This window comes from Homo sapiens, chromosome 3, assembly GCF_000001405.40.
Source record: "Homo sapiens chromosome 3, GRCh38.p14 Primary Assembly".
Classification (NCBI taxonomy): domain Eukaryota; kingdom Metazoa; phylum Chordata; class Mammalia; order Primates; family Hominidae; genus Homo; species Homo sapiens.
In genome coordinates this window covers 192,790,117-192,810,141 of record NC_000003.12, presented here as the reverse complement: position 1 = coordinate 192,810,141, position 20,025 = coordinate 192,790,117, and the positions used below count along the sequence as shown (strand labels likewise).

At 39.8% G+C, this 20,025-nt stretch overlaps 1 protein-coding gene across 1 annotated transcript in view, besides 1 other annotated feature; it reads left to right on the top strand.

Moving 5' to 3' along the window:
- The window catches only part of MB21D2 (Mab-21 domain containing 2), a 121,042-nt gene extending 107,715 nt beyond the window's left edge, over window positions 1-13,327 (top strand). Inside the window, exon 2 of the mRNA NM_178496.4 lies at window positions 10,492-13,327. Coding sequence (NP_848591.2) covers window positions 10,492-11,756 — 1,265 coding nt within the window. The 3' untranslated portion in view covers window positions 11,757-13,327. The remainder of the gene's footprint in view (window positions 1-10,491) is intronic.
- Window positions 18,519-19,718: an enhancer, noted in NCBI's record as "BRD4-independent group 4 enhancer chr3:192508213-192509412 (GRCh37/hg19 assembly coordinates)". NCBI's record gives its function as "activates an origin of replication core promoter dependent on BRD2, P300/CBP, MED14 and CDK7 cofactors, and independent of BRD4, by STARR-seq in HCT116 cells {active_cell/tissue: HCT116}" and the evidence as "EXISTENCE:reporter gene assay evidence [ECO:0000049][PMID:35650434]".

Below are 20,025 nucleotides of genomic sequence, written 5' to 3'. Positions count from 1 at the left end.
GTGTCTGTAAAGGGAAAAGACTTTCTTCCATTAGAGTTCAATAAAAGTTTCTGGCCTTGTGGTTAGTATGTTTTTGGCAGTCATGTTCCTGGCTACCTCCACCTGTCTCCTCAACCTAGTAGTATAAACTTAGGGGATATGACCTTCAAATTAAGGCTCTGATGTTGGGTTAAAATAACAAATTAGACTACGCATCTGAATATGTGGGAATATTTTCAGAGTTTGTTCTGGGAGCCTGAAAGAATTTCAGGGATGCTGTTGTGATTAAAACACTTGTGGAATGTTCTCTGAAAGTTGTCCAAGAGCTAAGTGTGCAACACAGATGCACACGCACACGTGTGCACCCACATAGCTGTGTGTCTCAGCACTAAGTATCTTTTTATAATGTCATCTATAATCGTCTCTTTCCTATGATCCTTGACCCATTTGCTCATATACTTTATTCCCCAGAGATGACTAAAGTCAGTTTTTAATCTGCTCTAGAAATCTGTTTACTCCAAAATAGAATTTGTTCCATTTTTGGATGGAGAAATAAATTTCTACTTACTGTTTCCTATACAGTTTATGTGGCAGTTCCAAAGGCCCAAGGTATTACATTGTTTATTCTCTCCTAGGAAAGCCCATTTAATGCAGGAAAGCAGCATAGGATCAACTTGAATTTGGATCCCAGGTCAGCTATCATGGCCATAAACAATTTATTTGGCTGCTATTTTTCTTAATTTCCTTATCTGTAAAATGGGGACACTAGGCTGGGCATGGTGGCTCACGCCTGTAATCCCAGCACTTTGGGAGGCCTAGGCAAGGCGGATCACGAGGTCAAAAGATCCAGACCATCCTGGCCAATACGGTGAAACCCCATCTCTACTAAAAATACAAAAATTAGCCAGATGTGGTGATGCGTGCCTGTAGTTCCAGCTACTCGGGAGGCTGAGACAGGAGAATTGCTTGAGCCAGGGAGATGGAGGTTGCAGTGAGCCAAGATTGTGCCACTGCACTCCAGCCTGGGGACAGAGCGAGACTCCATGTCAAAAAAAAAGGGAAGGGGGACACTATTGCCCACTTGAAAGGGCCAAGAAGATTGAACGAGATGACACAGGTAAGCATTTGGCCTGTGCCGTAGTGCATGGTAGTGGCATGAATGTTTGTGCCCTTCTCAGAGAGTCCTTGTCATGAGATGTATGTACTTCAAATGTGTACTATAAACTCAGCTCTTCTTTTGCTGTTATGTGTGTCATTGCTGGTGCTAGTTATCTCTTTGTAAAACTGGTGAAGTCGGCTGGAGGATGTGACAGCAGCAGGGCTGCAGTTTACAAATGACATAGAGTAGGCCAGATGAGAAGGAAGGGCAGCATCCAGCCTTTGGGCGTAATGCTCAGATTATGGTCTTCTTACAGCCACTGTGACTGGGCCCACACTGGATGGTCATAGGTGGCTATAGAAGTCTACGTTATAGTTGTCTGTCTTAAGTAGTAGGTTCTTGGGATGGGCAGCCACCTCGGAAGACATCTATACTGAGACTCCATCCCTGCTGAAGATTCTGATTGATCCTCTCTTGGGATAGGAAAGGTACTGCCTCCACAGGCAGCATTGCTAGAAAATTCTGCCGGATGGATGACTTTACAACATTACACTGAAAACTTCTCTCTATATGTTCTGCTTAGTGAAACCATGTAGGCAAATTCCATTTCTTCTGTACTAGCACAGCTTATCAGATATTTGAAGATGGCTCTCATAGCCTTTTTGAATTTTCCATTTTTCAGGCTAAATAATTTTCACTCCTCTTCTTCCTCTTGTGCATTTTGGCTAGGACCTTATTCATTTCATTCAGTGCTATTATCTCAATTTCTAATCATATGTTGATTCGTGTGTGATTATCTGATTAGTGTGGGAGCTGTTCATGCAGCATATCACAGATTCCCAGTTCTCCCAGCATGTGGTAGAATCGTGCTTTCTTTCATGGGTGAGGGTGGGACCATGTGACTAGTTTTGACCAATGATTTGTGTATGAAAATGATGTATGTCATTTGCATGCCAGAGCATTTAACTGCCAAAAAGAGAATGCCCAGAGCCTTCTTTTCCTCCAGCAGAGTGACTGTGAAGTTCCTTCTAGACATGGCTTGCTCTACCCATCTGGGTCCTAAGTTAAGGAAAGAAAAGCGCCCCCAATCCCTCCCGCCCCACTCACCCTTGATGGTCATCTAGTGTGAATGAAAAATAAAACTTGGTTGTTTTGAGTCACTGAGATATTAGCTTTGTTACTCAGCATAACTTCACCTGTCCTGATTGATAGAATTAACATTTGGCTTTCTCACTAAATCATCAGCATTATGCAGTGGGGGTGGTGTATGTTTCTCTTCACCTTTGTCTCTTCAGTGTCTAGCACAGCACTGGCTCATAGGAGACGCTCATACTTACTGTGTGAATAAGTAAAATCTGAGTTTTGAATCCTGTCTTTATCCTTGTTGCAATTTCTTAGACTTGGCCTACTTCATTATTTTTCTTCCAAAATGTAGACTTCCCCCCTTCTCCTCCCCAATTAAACACAGCTTTCCAGTTTCGGAGTAATTAAGTAGTTGACATATACATCTCAACGTGAGAAAGGAATGGAAACCGGACCCAGCTGGGTCCTGGGCAAAGGGTCAGTGATGGGGTACAGTTGACTTCATTCAGAGCATCTCCATCACAAGCTTATGGGTTCTTGGGAAGATCAGGAGAGCATTAATGTGGTCATCCCTGATATATTTCTGTATCCTTATGTAGCTGTTTAACACCATTACTCTTGCTCTTCACTTTTTTTTTTTTTTTTTGGCCTTTCAAGAATGAGCCTTCAGAAGTGAACACTGTCCTTGTAAATTGTCAGTCTGTAACTTTTGTACCCTATTGTGACTTTGGGAAGCTGCTAGGTAGGGCTAATAAGACTCTCTATTGGGTCTTGCCAGTAAGTTCTGAATGGCAAAAACCATGAGTTCTTAAACTATCCTAAGTACTGAAAAGAAAGGTCGGGATTTATTTGATGGGAAAAAATATATTGATAATATATCGATATGTGTATGCATGTGCCAACAAACCCTGTTCACTGATTACCAACTAAGCACAAAACTACACACTAAGAAATTTGTTGTGCATTTTCTCATTTTATTCCTGTGGCCACCCAACAAACTTGTACCAGTTGTTATTCTACAATTTTGTTTAAGGAAACCAAGGCCCACAGTGGTTGATGTTGGTCATAAATGAATTGGACTCGAATCCAGGTCTAACTCATGTTCATTCTGTTTAAAATAGCTTAGTAGACTTTGACAAAGCCCACCAATTTTTAAGACCTTCAGTTTTAATTTTTAAGAAGGAAAATAATGGAAGATTAGAGAGGCATTTTTCTCTTCCCATCTTTTAGATGATTAGTAAACATATGCTGACAGGCTTTCATATTATATTGTAGGGCAAATTCCATAATCCTAGGTTACGGTTAATGAGGTATTCAGGTTGATTGAAAGAAATGGTATACATAAAAAGCGGGTGCCTTCTAATCTAAAGTCTGTACTAGCAATGCAGCAAAAGAATGTTGACCACAAGGAGGTTATAGATGTCACCTAAGATAGGATCTTTCATTTGTGACGCCTTTTCGTGAGTTACTGTGCCAGATGCTTCACGGTTGACCCTTGAACAACACAGGTTTGAGCTGCACAGGTCCACTTATAGGTGGCTATTTTTCAATCAAATACAGATTGAAAATATACTATTTGCAGGATATGAAACCCACTTATACAGAGGACCAACTTGTTGTGTAAGTGGATTCCACAAGGTCAGCTATGGGACTTGAGTATGGACACATTTCAGCATATGTAGGAGCTCCTGGGACCAAGGGACGATTGTGTATTGTTGTCTTGTTTAGGAAGAAAGATACACCATGAACACAGCCCACAATGACAGTAGATGTCGAAAGTGCTAATTTAGTTCAGGTCAAGACCCTCCACTAGGATGTACAGGTTGTTCATTCCATGGGGTACCTGGGTGAGAGGACAAGAAAGAGCTAGAATCCAGCCTGCCCTCTGCCTGCCACCCTGTGTGTCGTGCCACACGATGGCATTCACTCAGAGGAAGCAGCCTTGACTAGCAGCAGTCTTGGTACAGCCAGGGGAGAGAATACTTCATTCATTTCCCTTCATCTAACATGTTTTGTGTGCCTTGCATGTGCTAGAGGCTTTAAATAGATTATCTTGTTTAATTAAATCTTTAAAATAACTCCGTGGAATCTGTGTTTATTTGCTCTTCCAGTTTATGTGTGGTAGGAAAAGGGAAGAACATATGGGGAACATGAGCTAAATATCTACGATGCGCTTAGACACTTCATAGCAATCCTGTAAGGGTGGGTTTTTATATGCGTTTACTTACTTTTCATCAATTTGTTTGTTTTTTAATAGATAAGGAATTGGAAACTCAGAGAGGTTAAGTAATTTGTTAGCCTCACTTGAATAGTAAATGACAAGCCCAGGATCCAAGCCCAAGCCTATGTTGAGTCCAGTGTTCTTGCGTACATATCAGTGTCAAAATGGGGAAATACTAAGAAAGACTCCTTTGGAGTGACATCTTTTAAATCAGCCCTGTTACTATATATATATTCTGGTCAATAGGGCATTACCATTACCATACGTGAATTAATCAGTCTTCTAAAAAAATAAAATTATATGCAGTTGTCTCAAATTATGCAAAATAAAGCAGACTCTTTGACATATAAAACATATTATCCTAATTGTGAGTACTAATAACTCAGAATATTATTGAAAAACTGGAAAGCTCCGTTTTTGTCTTCTGTATTTCCAGGGTCTTACAGTCTATTTGGGAATACTAATGGCTCTATCAAGGCAGACCAGGCCCATTCTTCTTTATGATAAATGTGGATGGTCAGACATGTTCTGCCAGTTGTCCCAGGTCCCACTAAAGATTTGACCAATAAAAATGAAAAACTGGCACATTGCCCTGAGACCTCTGCTACTTCCCTCTTAAGCCATTGTGCATTGTCATGGGGAGATCAGGACATATGTGTTATTCTGGTCTTTGCGCAAATGTTGGAATGCAACAATGCTGGTAATCTGTCACTAAGGCCGTATGACCCCACATGAGTGATTTCTCCTCTTGGAACCAGTTTTTTCTTCAGATAGATGATTTCTGGGCATGAACGAGGAAAGGCCTAAAATCTTTTCCAACTGGGGTCATTAAGAATTTCATGGATTAGTGACTTTCTTAGAAAAAGGTGGCTATGCCCACATCTCAGACGTTCCTCAGAATGTCAGGTAAGCTTGACAAAAATACTTCCACCCTGGAAACATAAACCATAATATTTTTATAGGAAGGTTTTATATTGTTTATTGTCAACCAAGGAGACTTACCCTAGGGGATGCATCAGAATGAAAGAAGGACTTTGTCAACATCATCACACCGTGTACCCTTCCTGCCATTAAAACCCACTGCTGGAATAAGGCACTGTTTGTTACTGGTATGTGCTACATGAGTTGGAGCTAAAAAAGGAAACTCTTTTATATGAAACAATGACTATTACTGAGATATTCAGGCATATAGTCAAAGGTATATAAAAAGATAAAATTTATCTAATTTTGTAACTTTAATTATAAGACATAAAAATTTTACTTCTTTTATAAACCTTTCTCCCTTCAACATATGTAAGTGTGTGTGTGTGTGTGTGTGTGTGTGTGTGTGTGTATCTGTTTTAAAGAAGTCTATACAGGTACTATTTTGACTTACCTACTTAGTATTTCTTGAACTCTCTGAGTTTTCACAGACTTACTGGGGTGGGGTTGTAAAGACAACAAGAAATCATACTTAGTTTTTGTGCTCTAGTATTAGCAATCTGGCATTATATGTTTGCATGATGAAGGTTTGCAGTTTCAATTTAGTGGAATATGATATAGTTTTATTCACTAGAACATAAGTCAGGGACAGAGTTCCATTTTTCACTTGATATTCTAAAGATAATCAGTAAATAACTGAAAGCATGACGTGAAACACATTCCTTAAACTTAGGACCTGAGTATCTATATAAAAGGGTACTATTAAGATATTCTTAAGTAAAAACTCTGAAATATATCAAAACCAAGAAACAGTGAATTACAGGAAAAGAGGTTGAGTGGCAGTTTTACTTAAGAACAAGCATATGCCAGTGCCTCCATGAAAAGAAGAGACCCACCCAAGGGAATAGCTATCCTCTATCCTTCCTTTTTTGTTTTGCTGCTAACAAGCTCAGTGGTGTATGTGCATCTTCCTTCTGTTCCCACTCATAGCTTTGGATAATCTAACAGCTAAACAGCCAGAGTCACTAGATCTTATCCTCCAGTAATTACACAGAAAACCTCGGATCATTGCAGAGATGGCACTTGTTGGAACTGATCCCTACAGCCAAAGCGTACAGTTGAAAATTTTCCCTCCTCTGTCTTTTTCCCTTCCAGCCCTGTGTTTTGGTTGCATGGCAACCCATCTGCCATGATAGCTGATGTCAGCTCATTTTCACTTAAACTTAGCCCAGGAAAGTTTTCAAGGAAGACATTTGGGCTTGTATAACGCTGGGGAAGGCTCGAGTTCTGTTACCATATCGTTTGTAAAATTGCAGACTAATGGGCTCAGGGAGGCTAAATGGAAATGTGGATGTAGGAAGGGATTAGCTTCTGGAACAGTGTGGCCTTAGGGACTTTGTTTCTTATAGGGGCTTAGTAAATGTGTGTCTGCAATACTCTTTCTGCTACTAAAGGGCTTTCTTCACTTTAAAAGGAATAAGAAGTGTTCAAAATTACCCTATCTCCTGAATATTAGAATTTAGCCAAATACTTGATGTTGACTCCTTTGAATAAAGGGTCAACATTTTAACGAGATGCATAAGCATCATTGAGAGGAAAGAGAACCTTTTATCATTGGCAGGAATTTTCTAGTGTGTATATTGACAAGTGAAAACAGGTTAAAACTTCTTAAATCCAGCAGAGGGCAGAAGGGAGTTTTAGCTATGGCTTACCCAAGACTCTCCAAACAAGATTGTAACAATCCAAGGCAAAATTCAGTGGCACTTTTGTAGACAAATTATCTCCAGGTTGTTAATGCACAAGTTACCCTGATTATATAGACGAGTCTTAGTTGGTGGGCTCAAAGCCAGTTTGCTTCTGTCCAGGACAAAAGCATATATAGGATTTTGAGTTAGTTACGCCTAAGAGGAGACAACAGTGTGTACTCAAATAACAATATCACTTTAATAGATTCAGATCTTATTTACTAACCACAACACAGCATTTCACAGTACTTCTCACGTATATTTATGGTATTCTGAATGGTAGAATGAAAGGATGTTTGAAATAATGAAGAGTAAACGATTTCATTATCAAATATATCTCACTGAAACTGACTGTTCCAACATGTGAGTTCATAAAATAATGAAAATGATTTTCACAACCTAATCTGGAATCTGAGAAATCAATTTTATCCTTTAAAGCAATAACCAAAACGTGGGATGGTAGTATTTCTTTACATGGCAAAGATGAGGTTAATATTAAAACATAATGACATTTGAGAAATGGATCTTTGTCTTGGCATTTATAAGAACTTTCAATCCGGATTAAGTTTGGCTTTAAAAAAGAAAACACTTTAAAAAGGAAAAACATATTTTCCATGCTGAAGACGGTTTTTGTTTGGGTAGTAGGTAGTATCTTCTGTTTTGCTTGGATAGTATTTAGTGTAGTATGTTGGGTTTCTCAGGACGCAGCCTCTGAAATGGAGTTAGGATGTTTATGAAGCAGCACCCTTGGGATCTACACCTGTCGAAGTGGGGAAGGAAGCAGGTTCAAGTAGGAGAAGCTGAGCTTCCCTGCAGGCGCATCATTCGCCACAGCCAACCCCACTGGGAACTCAGAGTTTGAGTGGCCCTTCAGAGTATCCTGAGCTGGGACACTCCCACACCGATCAGTTATTGGATGTGCACCTGCAACCCCCATCCCAGCCACAGGACCTGACCTGGCTAAGACAGCCCTTTGCAGCTGAGACAATCCTTAAGGGCTAGCATTTAAGCAGCTGGAAGTCCTTTATTGAAGAGGGACCTGGATGCCGTATCACAGTGCAGATAGTGTGAGAAACAGCCAAGAAGTCAGGTTTGTTGGATGTTCTTTCTGATGAATTGTTGACACTATAATGTTGGCTAACTTACGGTTTTAAAAAGAAAATGATAACTTGCCATATTTCTGTGTGTAAAGAATTGTACTAAATAAAAGACTTTTTCATGGTTAATGTGGTTTGGAAAATAGGATTTTAAAGAGCATATTTTAATAAATGAGCGTTAAATTTTAAAGTATAATTGTCTTAGTTCATTCAGGCTGTTATGTCAAAGTACCTAAACTGAGTAGCTTATAAACAGCAGGGATTTATTTCTCACCATTCTGGATGTCAAGAAAGCCAAGATCAAGGTGCCTGCAGATTCATTGTCTGGTGAGGGACAGCTTCCTGGTTCATAGATGGCTGTCTTCTCACTGTGTCCTCACATGGCAGAAGGGGTAAAGAAGCGCTCTGAGGTTTCTTTTATAAGGGTACCAATCCCACTCATGAGGGTTCCACTCTCACGCCTGATCACCTACCACAGGCCCCAGCTCCTAATACTATCACATTGAAAGTTGGGATTTCAACATGTGAGTGGGAGTCACGAACGTTCAGAGTATAACAATAATAGTAAGAAAACACAGGCATATGGTTTATTTGATTTGGGATTGTCCTATGAAGAGCAAACTATGAATTATAATGAATAATGGAATATTATAATACTTTGTGGTAGGTCTTGATCTTTGGGGAAACACTGTTAAATAAATCACAGGATGACGCTGGTAGTTTGTCAGAGAATCAAGCGTAAGCAAGTATATAATGAAGGAGGGAAAATGTATATGTTGTTTATGGAACAGTCATTTAAGTCTAGCCTTTAAGAATTTATGTTAATTCCATCTATTAATGCTATCTACCTATTAATTTCATGCATTTTTTCCCTTATCATTTAGTCATAGCTTGAATTATGTTCCTACTGCATGCACGGAGTCTTCTATACCTGCTTAATACATGAGACATGGTTCTCAAAAGGACCCACAATCTCTTAAAAAATCACATTTGTTAATATCATCGCCAATTTAATCAGAAACGTATACAATTCGAGAAGATGTCACGCTCATGGTGCGGAGTTTTCTAAATTTAATTTTCCCTTAGAAATTTCAGCTTTATCATTGGCAATAAATATTGTCAGTAGTTTCCTTGAAGCCAGGCTCATTTTGTTCATTTCTGAAGAAAATGTCTACCAAATACCCAAATCTAAATAGCCATAGTTTTCTGTTGTTCTTTAAAGTAAAAATGGCGTTCCATGAACAAAGAGGCTAGTTCAGCTCACAACTCAGTTACGTGAGTGCTTTTCCTGAAGACAGATTTCCTATTTCAGTATGAGGAAGACGGGTTTTATGGTTATTTCCATTTCATCACACAGACTATTAGGAAGATAGTCTTTCTAATGGCTCAGAGGTTGAGATTCAATAAAATAACTTATTTTTCTTCTCCATCAAGGATTTTCTTAAGTAAAACTGGGTTTTTTAAAAAAAAATTGCTAATGCATGTCAGTGGTAAAGAACCTACTGACTGCTAGTACAGTTTGGCATCAGTGTCTTTGCTGCTAAGGCACTGGCAATATTATCCTCCCTTGTTTCTGTGCCATTAGTACAATGGCAACACAGTAAAAAAGTCAGACAAGACTGGGCGTGGTAGCTCATGCCTGTAATCCCAGCACTTGGGGGAAGCCGAGGTAGGAGAATTGCTTGAGGCCAGGAATTTTAGACCAGCCTGGGCAACATAGCAAGACCCTGTCTCTTAAAAAAAAAGTCAAACAGTGTGTTAGTATTATTATAAAGAGAGTTATGAACTCATTACCCCTGAAAGTGTCTCCAGCCCACACTGAGAACCGCTGGTACAAAGAAGAGTGTAAGCGCAAAGAGCCTGGGGAAAGAAAACCGCTTAGGCAATAGATAAAAAAGGCCGAACTTCATATGATGGCAGGAGAGATGGAGAACAGGGAAGGAAGTGAGAAACCCTGGCAGAGGTTCCATGGAAAAGATTTGGCAGTAGAAGGGCAGCAAAGAGTTGAAATGTACTGAGGTTTTCAGTCTGCATAACTGAGTGGATGGCAATTCCATTAACTGAGATGATGACTGGGGGAAGAGGGGCCCTGTTTTATTATTGAAAACGATACTGCTTTTCACACTGAGAGAGAAAAATCTATCATAATTCTTGCATTTGGAAAAGGGTGGATTCTAGCACTAGTGAGAAAGTACTGTTGGCCAGGTCTCTGCAGCAGCCTGAGATTTGATTTAGTACTGATAATGAGTTTTGGTTCTTGGAACATCAGAGCATTCTGTTTCATGCATAAGACTCTTATGTCTGTGTTTCCTGTAATAGTGTTGTTTTTTTCTTCTTTATTTCCAGGAATGGTGCAAAAGCTGGACCAAAAGCTTCCAGTGGCTAATGAATACCTGTTGCTCTCTGGAGGTGTCCGGGAAGGCGTGGTGGACCTGGACTTAGATGAGCTTAATGTCTATGCCCGGGGTACTGACTATGATATGGACTTTACCCTCTTGGTGCCAGCCCTCAAGCTGCATGACCGTAATCAGCCTGTGACACTCGACATGCGCCACTCAGCCTTGTGCCACTCTTGGCTGAGCCTTCGGCTCTTTGATGAGGGGACAATCAGTAAATGGAAAGACTGCTGCACCATTGTAGATCACATCAATGGTGCCACCAACTACTTCTTCTCACCTACCAAAGTGGCTGACTGGTTCTATGACTCTATCAGCATTGTCCTATCAGAAATACAGAAGAAACCCCAGCGAGGGATGCCAAAGGTAGAAAAGGTGGAAAAAAATGGGACCATCATCTCCATCATTCTGGGTGTAGGGAGTAGTCGCATGTTGTATGATATTGTCCCTGTGGTATCTTTCAAAGGTTGGCCTGCAGTGGCCCAGAGCTGGCTCATGGAGAACCACTTTTGGGATGGGAAGATTACTGAGGAAGAGGTCATCAGTGGGTTTTACTTGGTGCCTGCTTGCTCCTACAAGGGTAAGAAGGACAATGAATGGCGGCTGTCCTTTGCCAGGAGCGAGGTGCAGTTGAAGAAGTGCATCTCCAGCAGCCTCATGCAGGCCTATCAGGCCTGCAAAGCCATCATCATTAAACTGCTGTCCCGGCCCAAGGCTATTAGCCCCTATCACCTGCGGAGCATGATGCTCTGGGCCTGCGACAGACTTCCTGCCAACTACTTGGCTCAAGAAGACTATGCAGCCCACTTTTTGCTGGGCCTCATCGATGACCTGCAACACTGTCTGGTCAACAAGATGTGCCCCAATTATTTCATCCCTCAGTGCAACATGCTGGAACATCTGTCTGAGGAGACAGTCATGCTTCACGCCCGGAAGCTGTCCTCTGTGCGCTCAGACCCGGCAGAGCACTTGCGCACCGCCATTGAGCATGTCAAGGCAGCCAACCGGCTGACACTGGAGCTCCAGAGGCGAGGTAGCACCACCAGCATCCCCTCTCCACAGTCTGACGGAGGGGACCCCAACCAGCCTGATGACCGTTTGGCAAAAAAACTGCAGCAGCTAGTGACTGAGAACCCGGGAAAGTCAATCTCTGTCTTTATCAATCCTGACGATGTCACAAGGCCCCATTTCAGAATTGATGACAAATTTTTCTGAGTGTTAGCTGACTTTTTTTTTTCCTGATTCTTAAACTCTGATAATGTGTCGTGTGGTTTGTGATGCTATCTTTCTGTTTTTTACATATCCAGCCTAGATTGGATTTGTTAAGAACAAATTTTAAGTTTCCTGGTTCTGCAGGATGGTGCAGGCTCTGAAACAGTATATTACTATTTCATATTCTGCCTCTGATTTCGTTGTTTACTTTTTGTAGTTATTGTCATGCTCTTTAGTTTGTTGGAGTTTTTTTTCTTTTTAAGGAGATCTTAAGCCATAGATGAAAATGCCCATGAATCCTCTTGCTTTTTTCTGTTTCATACTTGGTGCAAATTTGTTCATGGGTATGGGGAAACAAATCTCTTTCTGATGCTTAACGATTCTATCCTATTATTTTTATTATTTTGTTTTTGTCTTTTTTCTTATGAGCTTTCACCACTACTGATATTTGAGAATCATATGAACCTGGGAACTACTTGGCATGTTAGCTGGATTTATTTATTTTGGCCAGTGACCAGAGTAGTTTCCCCCCTTTTCCACCAAACAATGTAAACTTTGAAAGTGATAATACTACAAATTGTGTTTTGGAGCAACTTCATTGAATGTAATTGTCCTCAAATCAGAGAACACTGGGTGGTTTGAAGGGTGTCTTTGACAGTTTTCCAAGCAGAATTAAGGTTTCCAAATGTTAATTTTAGCATATGTAATTATTTGAAGCCTTATTTAAATCCTATTAAAGAACATACCATTATAATTATTATTTGCACTAATCTTTGCCATTGTCAGAATTGCAAAGTGTGTTTCAATATAAATTAACAACCACTCTCGAAATTCTATCATTTTTTCATTTTGCCCATTTCTATCAGTGAAATGATTCTTTGCATTTGCTTAGTTCTCCTTCAGTTGTGGGGTCCTGCTTTGCCCTCTTTGATATTCCTGGTTCCTGTCTTACTGAGAGAAGTTGTTAAAGCTTTATACATGTTGACCCCATCTAAAGCTGGGGAAAATATACACTTGATGAAGTAGGTGTCTTTGTATTTATTTCTTTTGGGGTCATAGAGGTAAGCTTTTTTGTAAAATCTCTACTCTTCCTGAGAGTTTTGAGAAAAACTGGCAGGAAGAACTTATAATCCCCAAATAGAAGATACCACGTCTGTTCAAAAGCAGGTATTGCTATAGAGCAGCACCCAGGAAATATCTGTGGGTGGCAGCCTTGGTATAGAGGTGTCCTGTCTTCATGAGTGAAGTTACTTGCCTGATTAGGTGCTGGAAGGTATTGGCTCCCTGTTTTGGTGTGGACTCATGGCAAGCTGGTGTTTAAGAGGTCAGGAGGCCTGCTGATCTTTCAAAGGACACCCATGATGTCTACTCATAGAAAGGGCAAGTAACGTGTTCATTTTGGTCTTGAATGTCCAAACTCAAGGGTTGGATTTTGGCCAATTGAAATCAGACATATGCGATCTTGGGTTTTTGCATGGAAATTAATGTAATGCTTATAAATGAAAAATGAAAACATTTCAACCATCTAAGTCAAACACAAAAATAATAAAAAAAGAAACATACTGGCCTTGAAATTTTGTTGTTGTTTGTAATCTGGGAATTATTTTCTTATTAGTATTATATTAGTATATTTATATATTAGTATATTTTCTTATTAGTATTATACTAACAGCAATTTTCAATAAATACAGCCATGGGCTTGCTAGTGTCTTTCGGACCAGTTGTCCATATAGTGAACAACCAACATTCAGTCTTCCTCTTTCCCCAGTTTTACTACTAATGTCTATCCGCCACATCATCCTTGTCCTTCTCAGGAAATGATTTCATCCCTAGTGCTGAAAACGCGTCATAATTGGAAAAGCTGATCTGCACAAACCATCTCCCTGGCCACAACATTAACAAGCGACACAGAATGTAAGCCGCTCCAGTCAGGGACACGCTCAGCGTTCCAAACTGGAATGCTGGGACAGAAACATACACTCTCCCTGGATATGGAGGAGAAAGCATTTGGATTCTTTTGCTACTGACAACTATCACACGATCTTTATTTATTTGTGTATTTATTTTTAATACACTTTAAGTTCTGGGTTACATGTGCAGAACGTGCAGTTTTGTTACATAGGTATATACGTGCCCTGGGTGATGTGCTGCACTCATCAACCCGTCACTAATGCTATCCCTCCCCCAGCCCCCTACCCCCCGACAGGCCCCGATGCGTGATGCTCCCCTCCCTGTGTCCGTGTGTTCTCATTGTTCAACTCCCACTTAAGAGTGAGAACATGTGGCGTTTGGTTTTCTGATCTTGTATCACGCAATCTTGACTAGAGCTAGCTTTAGGATGAAGCTGACGTTGGATGGCGTTATGGGAGCTGGGAATTAAAACATGACCTACCACACCCGCCACATCTGAGATCTCCACTAGACTTTCTAGTTAAATGAGTCAACACTTGGGTTATTTTAGCCAGTTTGAATTTGGCTCATCAAAATATTTAAACTGGTATACCAAACTACTTCAGTATATTTAAACTATTGCCGTTGTTGTGTGCCTCTTTTCTTTCTCGGGACAGATATCAGGGTTACCGTGTATTTTATCTAAGAGCTGGTTTATGCTATCTGATTTGATTCAAAAAAAATAGCCTCTATAATAATTATGCTTCTACTAAAGCCTGTTAAAAATGTATGATACTTTGACCATTACATTACACTTTGTAGATTAAAATAGTTGTAAACCATCAAAGTAGCAAGCATATTACAACAGCTGTTTCTTTAAGCTATAAACGACCATAACTATTCTCTGAACTAGTGTCTCAAATACACTTAGCAATATTTGCAATATTTTACGTGCCATGTTTTCAGACAAAACTCCATTACAGGCATAAAAAGAAACTAGTTTCAAAGATCCTCTTGGCCCTGTTTTTGTTTTGTTTTTTGTTTTGTTTTGTTTTTGCCACTTCTAGTCCTAGTGAAGATCACTCTACAAATTCTTGGTTAAACGTCTCGAAAAAGGTCCAGAGGCCTCTGGGCTCTAGTAATTTTAAAATCCTTTAAAAAATTCCTGGAATTTCCTATTGGTACTATAACCTCGGACTTTTGGCTCAGATGCTGAGAGGGCTAGAAATGGGATGTAGTCCAATACCTTTTCTTATCTGAAATTTAAGCAAATCATTGAGTTACTAACCAGTCTGTCCTCCTGAAGTTCAGAAGATCGGTTAAAATCACTTCTGTTTCAAGCACAGAATACAATGCCTTAAGGCTGGAGTCATAATTTTAACATTATTCATGGCTGACTTTTTGATCGGGGGGTATTTACAAGCTATTACTCAACGGGCCTTCAGTTCTCTAATGAGGCTGGTTTCACCTATTTTGAGAGTAGGTTATTCTCTGTCCCCTGGCTTTCTCTTCTGAAATGGAAGATCCAAAGATGCCAGTAAAGGTTGGTTTAGAAGTGGGTGGAGCCAGGACCAGACATTTAAAAAATATTTCTGAAAGTACTATACAGAATTATTTCAGAGAAAATGAGAGGCAGGCATATGTAGCTAATCTTACTTCTGGGTGGAGAGGTGGGAAAAGTGGAAAGGACGTTAGGAGCTCCTAGTCACTTGTGTACCACAGGCACACGCACATACATGAGTGTGAGCACACACACATATTTTTATATCACCAACTGGAGGTTTCTTTGGGGTGACTTTTATAATGCACTTCCTTGGAGAATTAAGCCCCCTGGTCATAACTAATCGTTGGTGGTTTGGAATCAGATCACTGCCTCACCAAGAGGAATTTTCTGAGTTGGAGTTCAGCCTTTGCTGGTAATGCTGGGAAGGAACAGGAGGCGTGTTGAGCAGCGGTGTTGGTCTCCCAGGGTCTGGGGGCTTCCTGTGGCTTCAAAGCTCAGCAGTGGTCTTTAGAGAAGGTGCCTCAAGTTCCATCCCGGTAAGCTCTCTCCAGAACCTTTCTCTGAGTCACTGAAGGGGCTGTTGGTATGACTGTTTCAGGTAGGAATCTGGGAAAGACTTCTTTCACTCTCCCACAGTCTTGCCTAGAGGATAAGCCTTTCTGTCATTAAATGGAGCACTAGCTACTACTAATATTAAAGGAAGAATAGGGATCAATCTCTGTTGCTGTTTCTTTATTAATGTCAGGTAAATACAAATGTATTTTTTAGATTATTACAGGGATGTAATCAATGCCCCTCTTTGAGGAAAACAGTTAATTTTAAAAATGCAACTCTTGGCCAGGCACAGTGGCTCACGCCTGTAATCCCAGCACTTTGGGAGGCCAAGGCGGGTGGATCACCTGAGGTCAGGAGTTGGAGACCAGCCTGAACAACATGGCAAAACCCCGTCTCTACTAAAAAGTACAAAAATTAGCCAGGCGTGGTGGCGGGCGCCTCTAATCCCATCTACTCAGGAGGCTGAGGCAGGAGAATAGCTTGAACCCAGGAGCCGGAGGTTGCAGTGAGCCGAGATCACGCCACTGCACTCTAGCCTGGGCAACAAGAGTGAGACTCCATCTCAAAAAAAAAAAAAAAAAAAACAACTCTTATGCTATAATTTCTTCAACAGTTAAACAAAGAATGTATAATCTAAACACTTTAGAATAAATATTCACCAATGGAGAATTACATATCTAAAATTCTACCTTATGTTAATTACCTGGAAAAATATATTTTTATTTTTTAGGACTGAAGCTGTAATAATTTACAATAGTTTATGCCCATTTCCAGTGCTATTAGCAATAAGTTCAAAAGCAGCATGTTTCGTAAACCATTTCCTATATCACACTGAAATTTTATATTGATTTAATGTAACTATTTTTCTGAGTTTGAATTGACAGTTTTTCTCCGCGGTTGGGTCTCGACATTCAGCGATCATCAGAGAGACCGTATGACTGGGTTTGTGTGGTTAAGAATAAGCAAGAAATCTCAGAAAAGTCTAATATTAACCATCATGTAAATACACTGTTGTTCAAAGATGTATAAAGACATATATAGCCTTAATTTGGTATGGCAGCTAAGATGAGAATGTTTGCACTCTGGACCACTCTCCCTCTCTTTTCAAGATGAATGGACTCCTAATGTGACCTTGGTGAGGGCGCATTGATATATTTTTCTCTTGCCATTTTCTGCCTCACCAATTAATCACAGAAGATAAAAGGGGCTAACTTTGAATATAGTTGAAATTTTGTTTCTTTGATTTTATATCCTTATCCGTAAAATATGGATTGGGGTAGCTGTTCTAGCTTTCACTAAAATTGCCTCAGTTTCCAAATTAGTCTCAAGTTTAGATTTATATATCTACACATTTGGAGTATCCATTTTGACAATATTATTTTTAAAAATCTTACTAAGTTGCACCAACACCTACAGTGGAGCACAGGAAACATTTATTGAACACCTGCATGTACAGTTCTTGCTAGATGCTTTATATTCATGAGCCTATTGAAGTATCACAACAACTCTAAACACGGTAAGTCTAAACTTCAATACTCAGGAATTAGGTAACTTGTTCAAAATTACATAGATAATTAAGTGGTAGGGCAGAGTCAGTGTTTGAACCCATTTGTTTGTTTCAAAAATTAAGAACTTTCTTCTGTGTTATACTGCCTCTGGTATTAGAATCTGTTTTTATTGTTTAAGATAAATTCTATTATGTGCCTGCATAGGGGGGCCTGCATTCAGATAACAGGTAAACCTTGGACTGTGTTCTGATACCAGAACCCTGAGTATTTCCAGAGCTTTTCATCAGCAGAATAGATGGATCATTTAGAGAATGCTAAGAGAAGATAAATGACCATTTATGGAAAATTTTCTGTTTAGGGCAAGGAAATGGACCAAATGTCTCTATCATTTTAACTTCTGAGCTCAGAGGAGTAGGCAGAAGAACTGTTAGTTACTATTAGCAAAATACTACTCTTTTTAAAGATGTAGGGAGAGAGGTATTTACGAATTAGCTACAAATGAAAGGTATGACAACTTTAATGGCTCAGCTGGCCTTGATGTAAAAATGAAATACATGTAAATAGACCACTTGTATTTTTAAAACAGTATTTCTGTAATTTAGAGGGAGTTTTTGAATATTTTTTGAATATGATATCTTTTAAAAATTCTGAGCATTTGTAGACTTTGGTAGACTAAACCCCCTACAAAATCTTACTGCTTACATTTTATAAATCTATAATTTACCATTTACATTAATACTTTTTTAATAGAAATAGGAATCTCAAACGACTTTTTATAGACTATCACCAAACTGAAGACTGTGAGGTGTGGTTTGAATGATGCCCTAGGTGATTGACCCAAGAGGCAAGACAGCATTCCTTGGTTGTGATAATTGAAGCTACCCTGAGATAAACAGCAGCTTGTTTCTGATCCTTGTTCCTTCCAGCCTCAACACAGCCTATGCTTGGAGGACCAAAGCAAATAATCTGCTATCATGAGCCAAACTCTTCATTTATGGGAATTAATAAATCTAAAGAAGCGTCCCATCTCACAAGATAATAAGAATGATTAAAAGTAAAGTCAGACTCATCTGATCTTTTGTGGTGATGGGCAGGTACTTTCTATAATGATTGTGGAAATTTACCAAATGACTGTCCTCCGAAAAGGAACCTGTTGAAGGAAGAATGTTCTGTAGTGGGTAGGAAAGGCGGGTTGAGGCAACCTGTGGACCAATAGTGAGTGTGTAGACAAGGGGCTGGACAACCTGGATGCAGACGGTTCTGACATTAGCTATGACACTTTAGGCAAACCTTTCCCTTTTCTGGGTCTTGTTTGCTCTCATCGTTTGTAAATTGAAGATGAGATGTGTGGCCTGTCTTCAGAGCCTTCATGAAGAGCTGTAAAAGAACAAACACCAAGACAACAGCTACACACAAATATTAAGCAATGATAACCTATGACGGTTAAATGGGATTTGCAGATCCTGGCTGGGGCTGTAGATAAACTGAGATGGACAGAAGTGGCAGGGAGTGCTCAGATAGGTTGGAATAAATGAGAGGACGTTGCTTCTGCTTGTCTCGTTCCTTACAACAGAGTGGTATCATTATTCTGAGACCTCTCCAAGGCCAATCTCGTGGTCATAGGCACAGATCTCTCTGTACCCTCTGCACAGCTGTGATTGTAACATTTTATAAGCTGTTGCTTACAAAAGGATTTTACTGGAAAACAAACTATTTTTGGCTCTCAGGTCCTTAAATATAGCTCAAGCATTGACCTTCACTAATTCACACATCAGTGTTGTTCAGCTTTTTTATACGAGAATCCTAAAAGTAAGCCATTTGGGGGTTTGCGTGACAAGAAGGTAAGTCCAGGTTGGGTATATAACCTGCTTAAATTTGCTACCTACCATGTGTTCTCCGTGTGGTAGAAACCTTTGGGGACAGTGTCTCCTATCAGAATCCTGTGACTGACAAGATCACAGCACGACTCCAGCCAGCGGAATCATTCCTTGTTGTCATATTGACGTTGCAGTCATCTTGTGTTTTTCTATGCTAATGGTGTGGAGAAGAAACTAACAAAATGTAAAAAGAGTAAATAACAAAGTAACAGTCTATGAATGGCTTCCTTAGCAGTGAAGGTCCTGGCCTAGAAAGTTTCTGAATTTTGGCATCACCTGCCTGTTTGTTTCACATAGTTCTATGCCCAGACCCAGTCTCCTTATATTGTTGTTAGTAACAATTATATCGAATATTAAGTGGGTGAAGAGACCCCATCCAAGTTTCTACATTAATTTCTGTTTTCAAATTTCTGTTTTTAGATATCCTGAAATCTTTTGATCAACACAAAAACCTCGTGCTTCAACCTATCCTTAATTCTTTTGGACACTCCTTTTTCACTTTCCTGTTACTTGTTAGAGAATCACTATCTTCTAAGTATTCCCACTAGACAGCCAAAAATATTTTGACAAGCTTTCTGAGGTTTGTACTATAAAAATTATAGATATTAGGGGATTTTAAAATAAATTTAGAGACTGTGGTTTTTCAAGCTACACATACTCCTAATTCTAAAACACCATGATGCAATAACCCTCCCCCTACCTCCATTAAGAATAATTTATCTACATGGAAGGCCAAGTGGATGTTGAAGGGCTTTTCTAAATTTCTTCTGCCTAATTTGACCTCATAGAATAACCTGCCTCACTAGAAAGAATTATTTATAAAGAAATGTCTCTATAGCTTGTTGGTCTACACAGACTTTGCTCAAATCTTGAATCTCCTATTGTGTCTGGAATTGGTGGGTTCTTGGTCTCACTGACTTCAAGAATGAAGCCGCGGA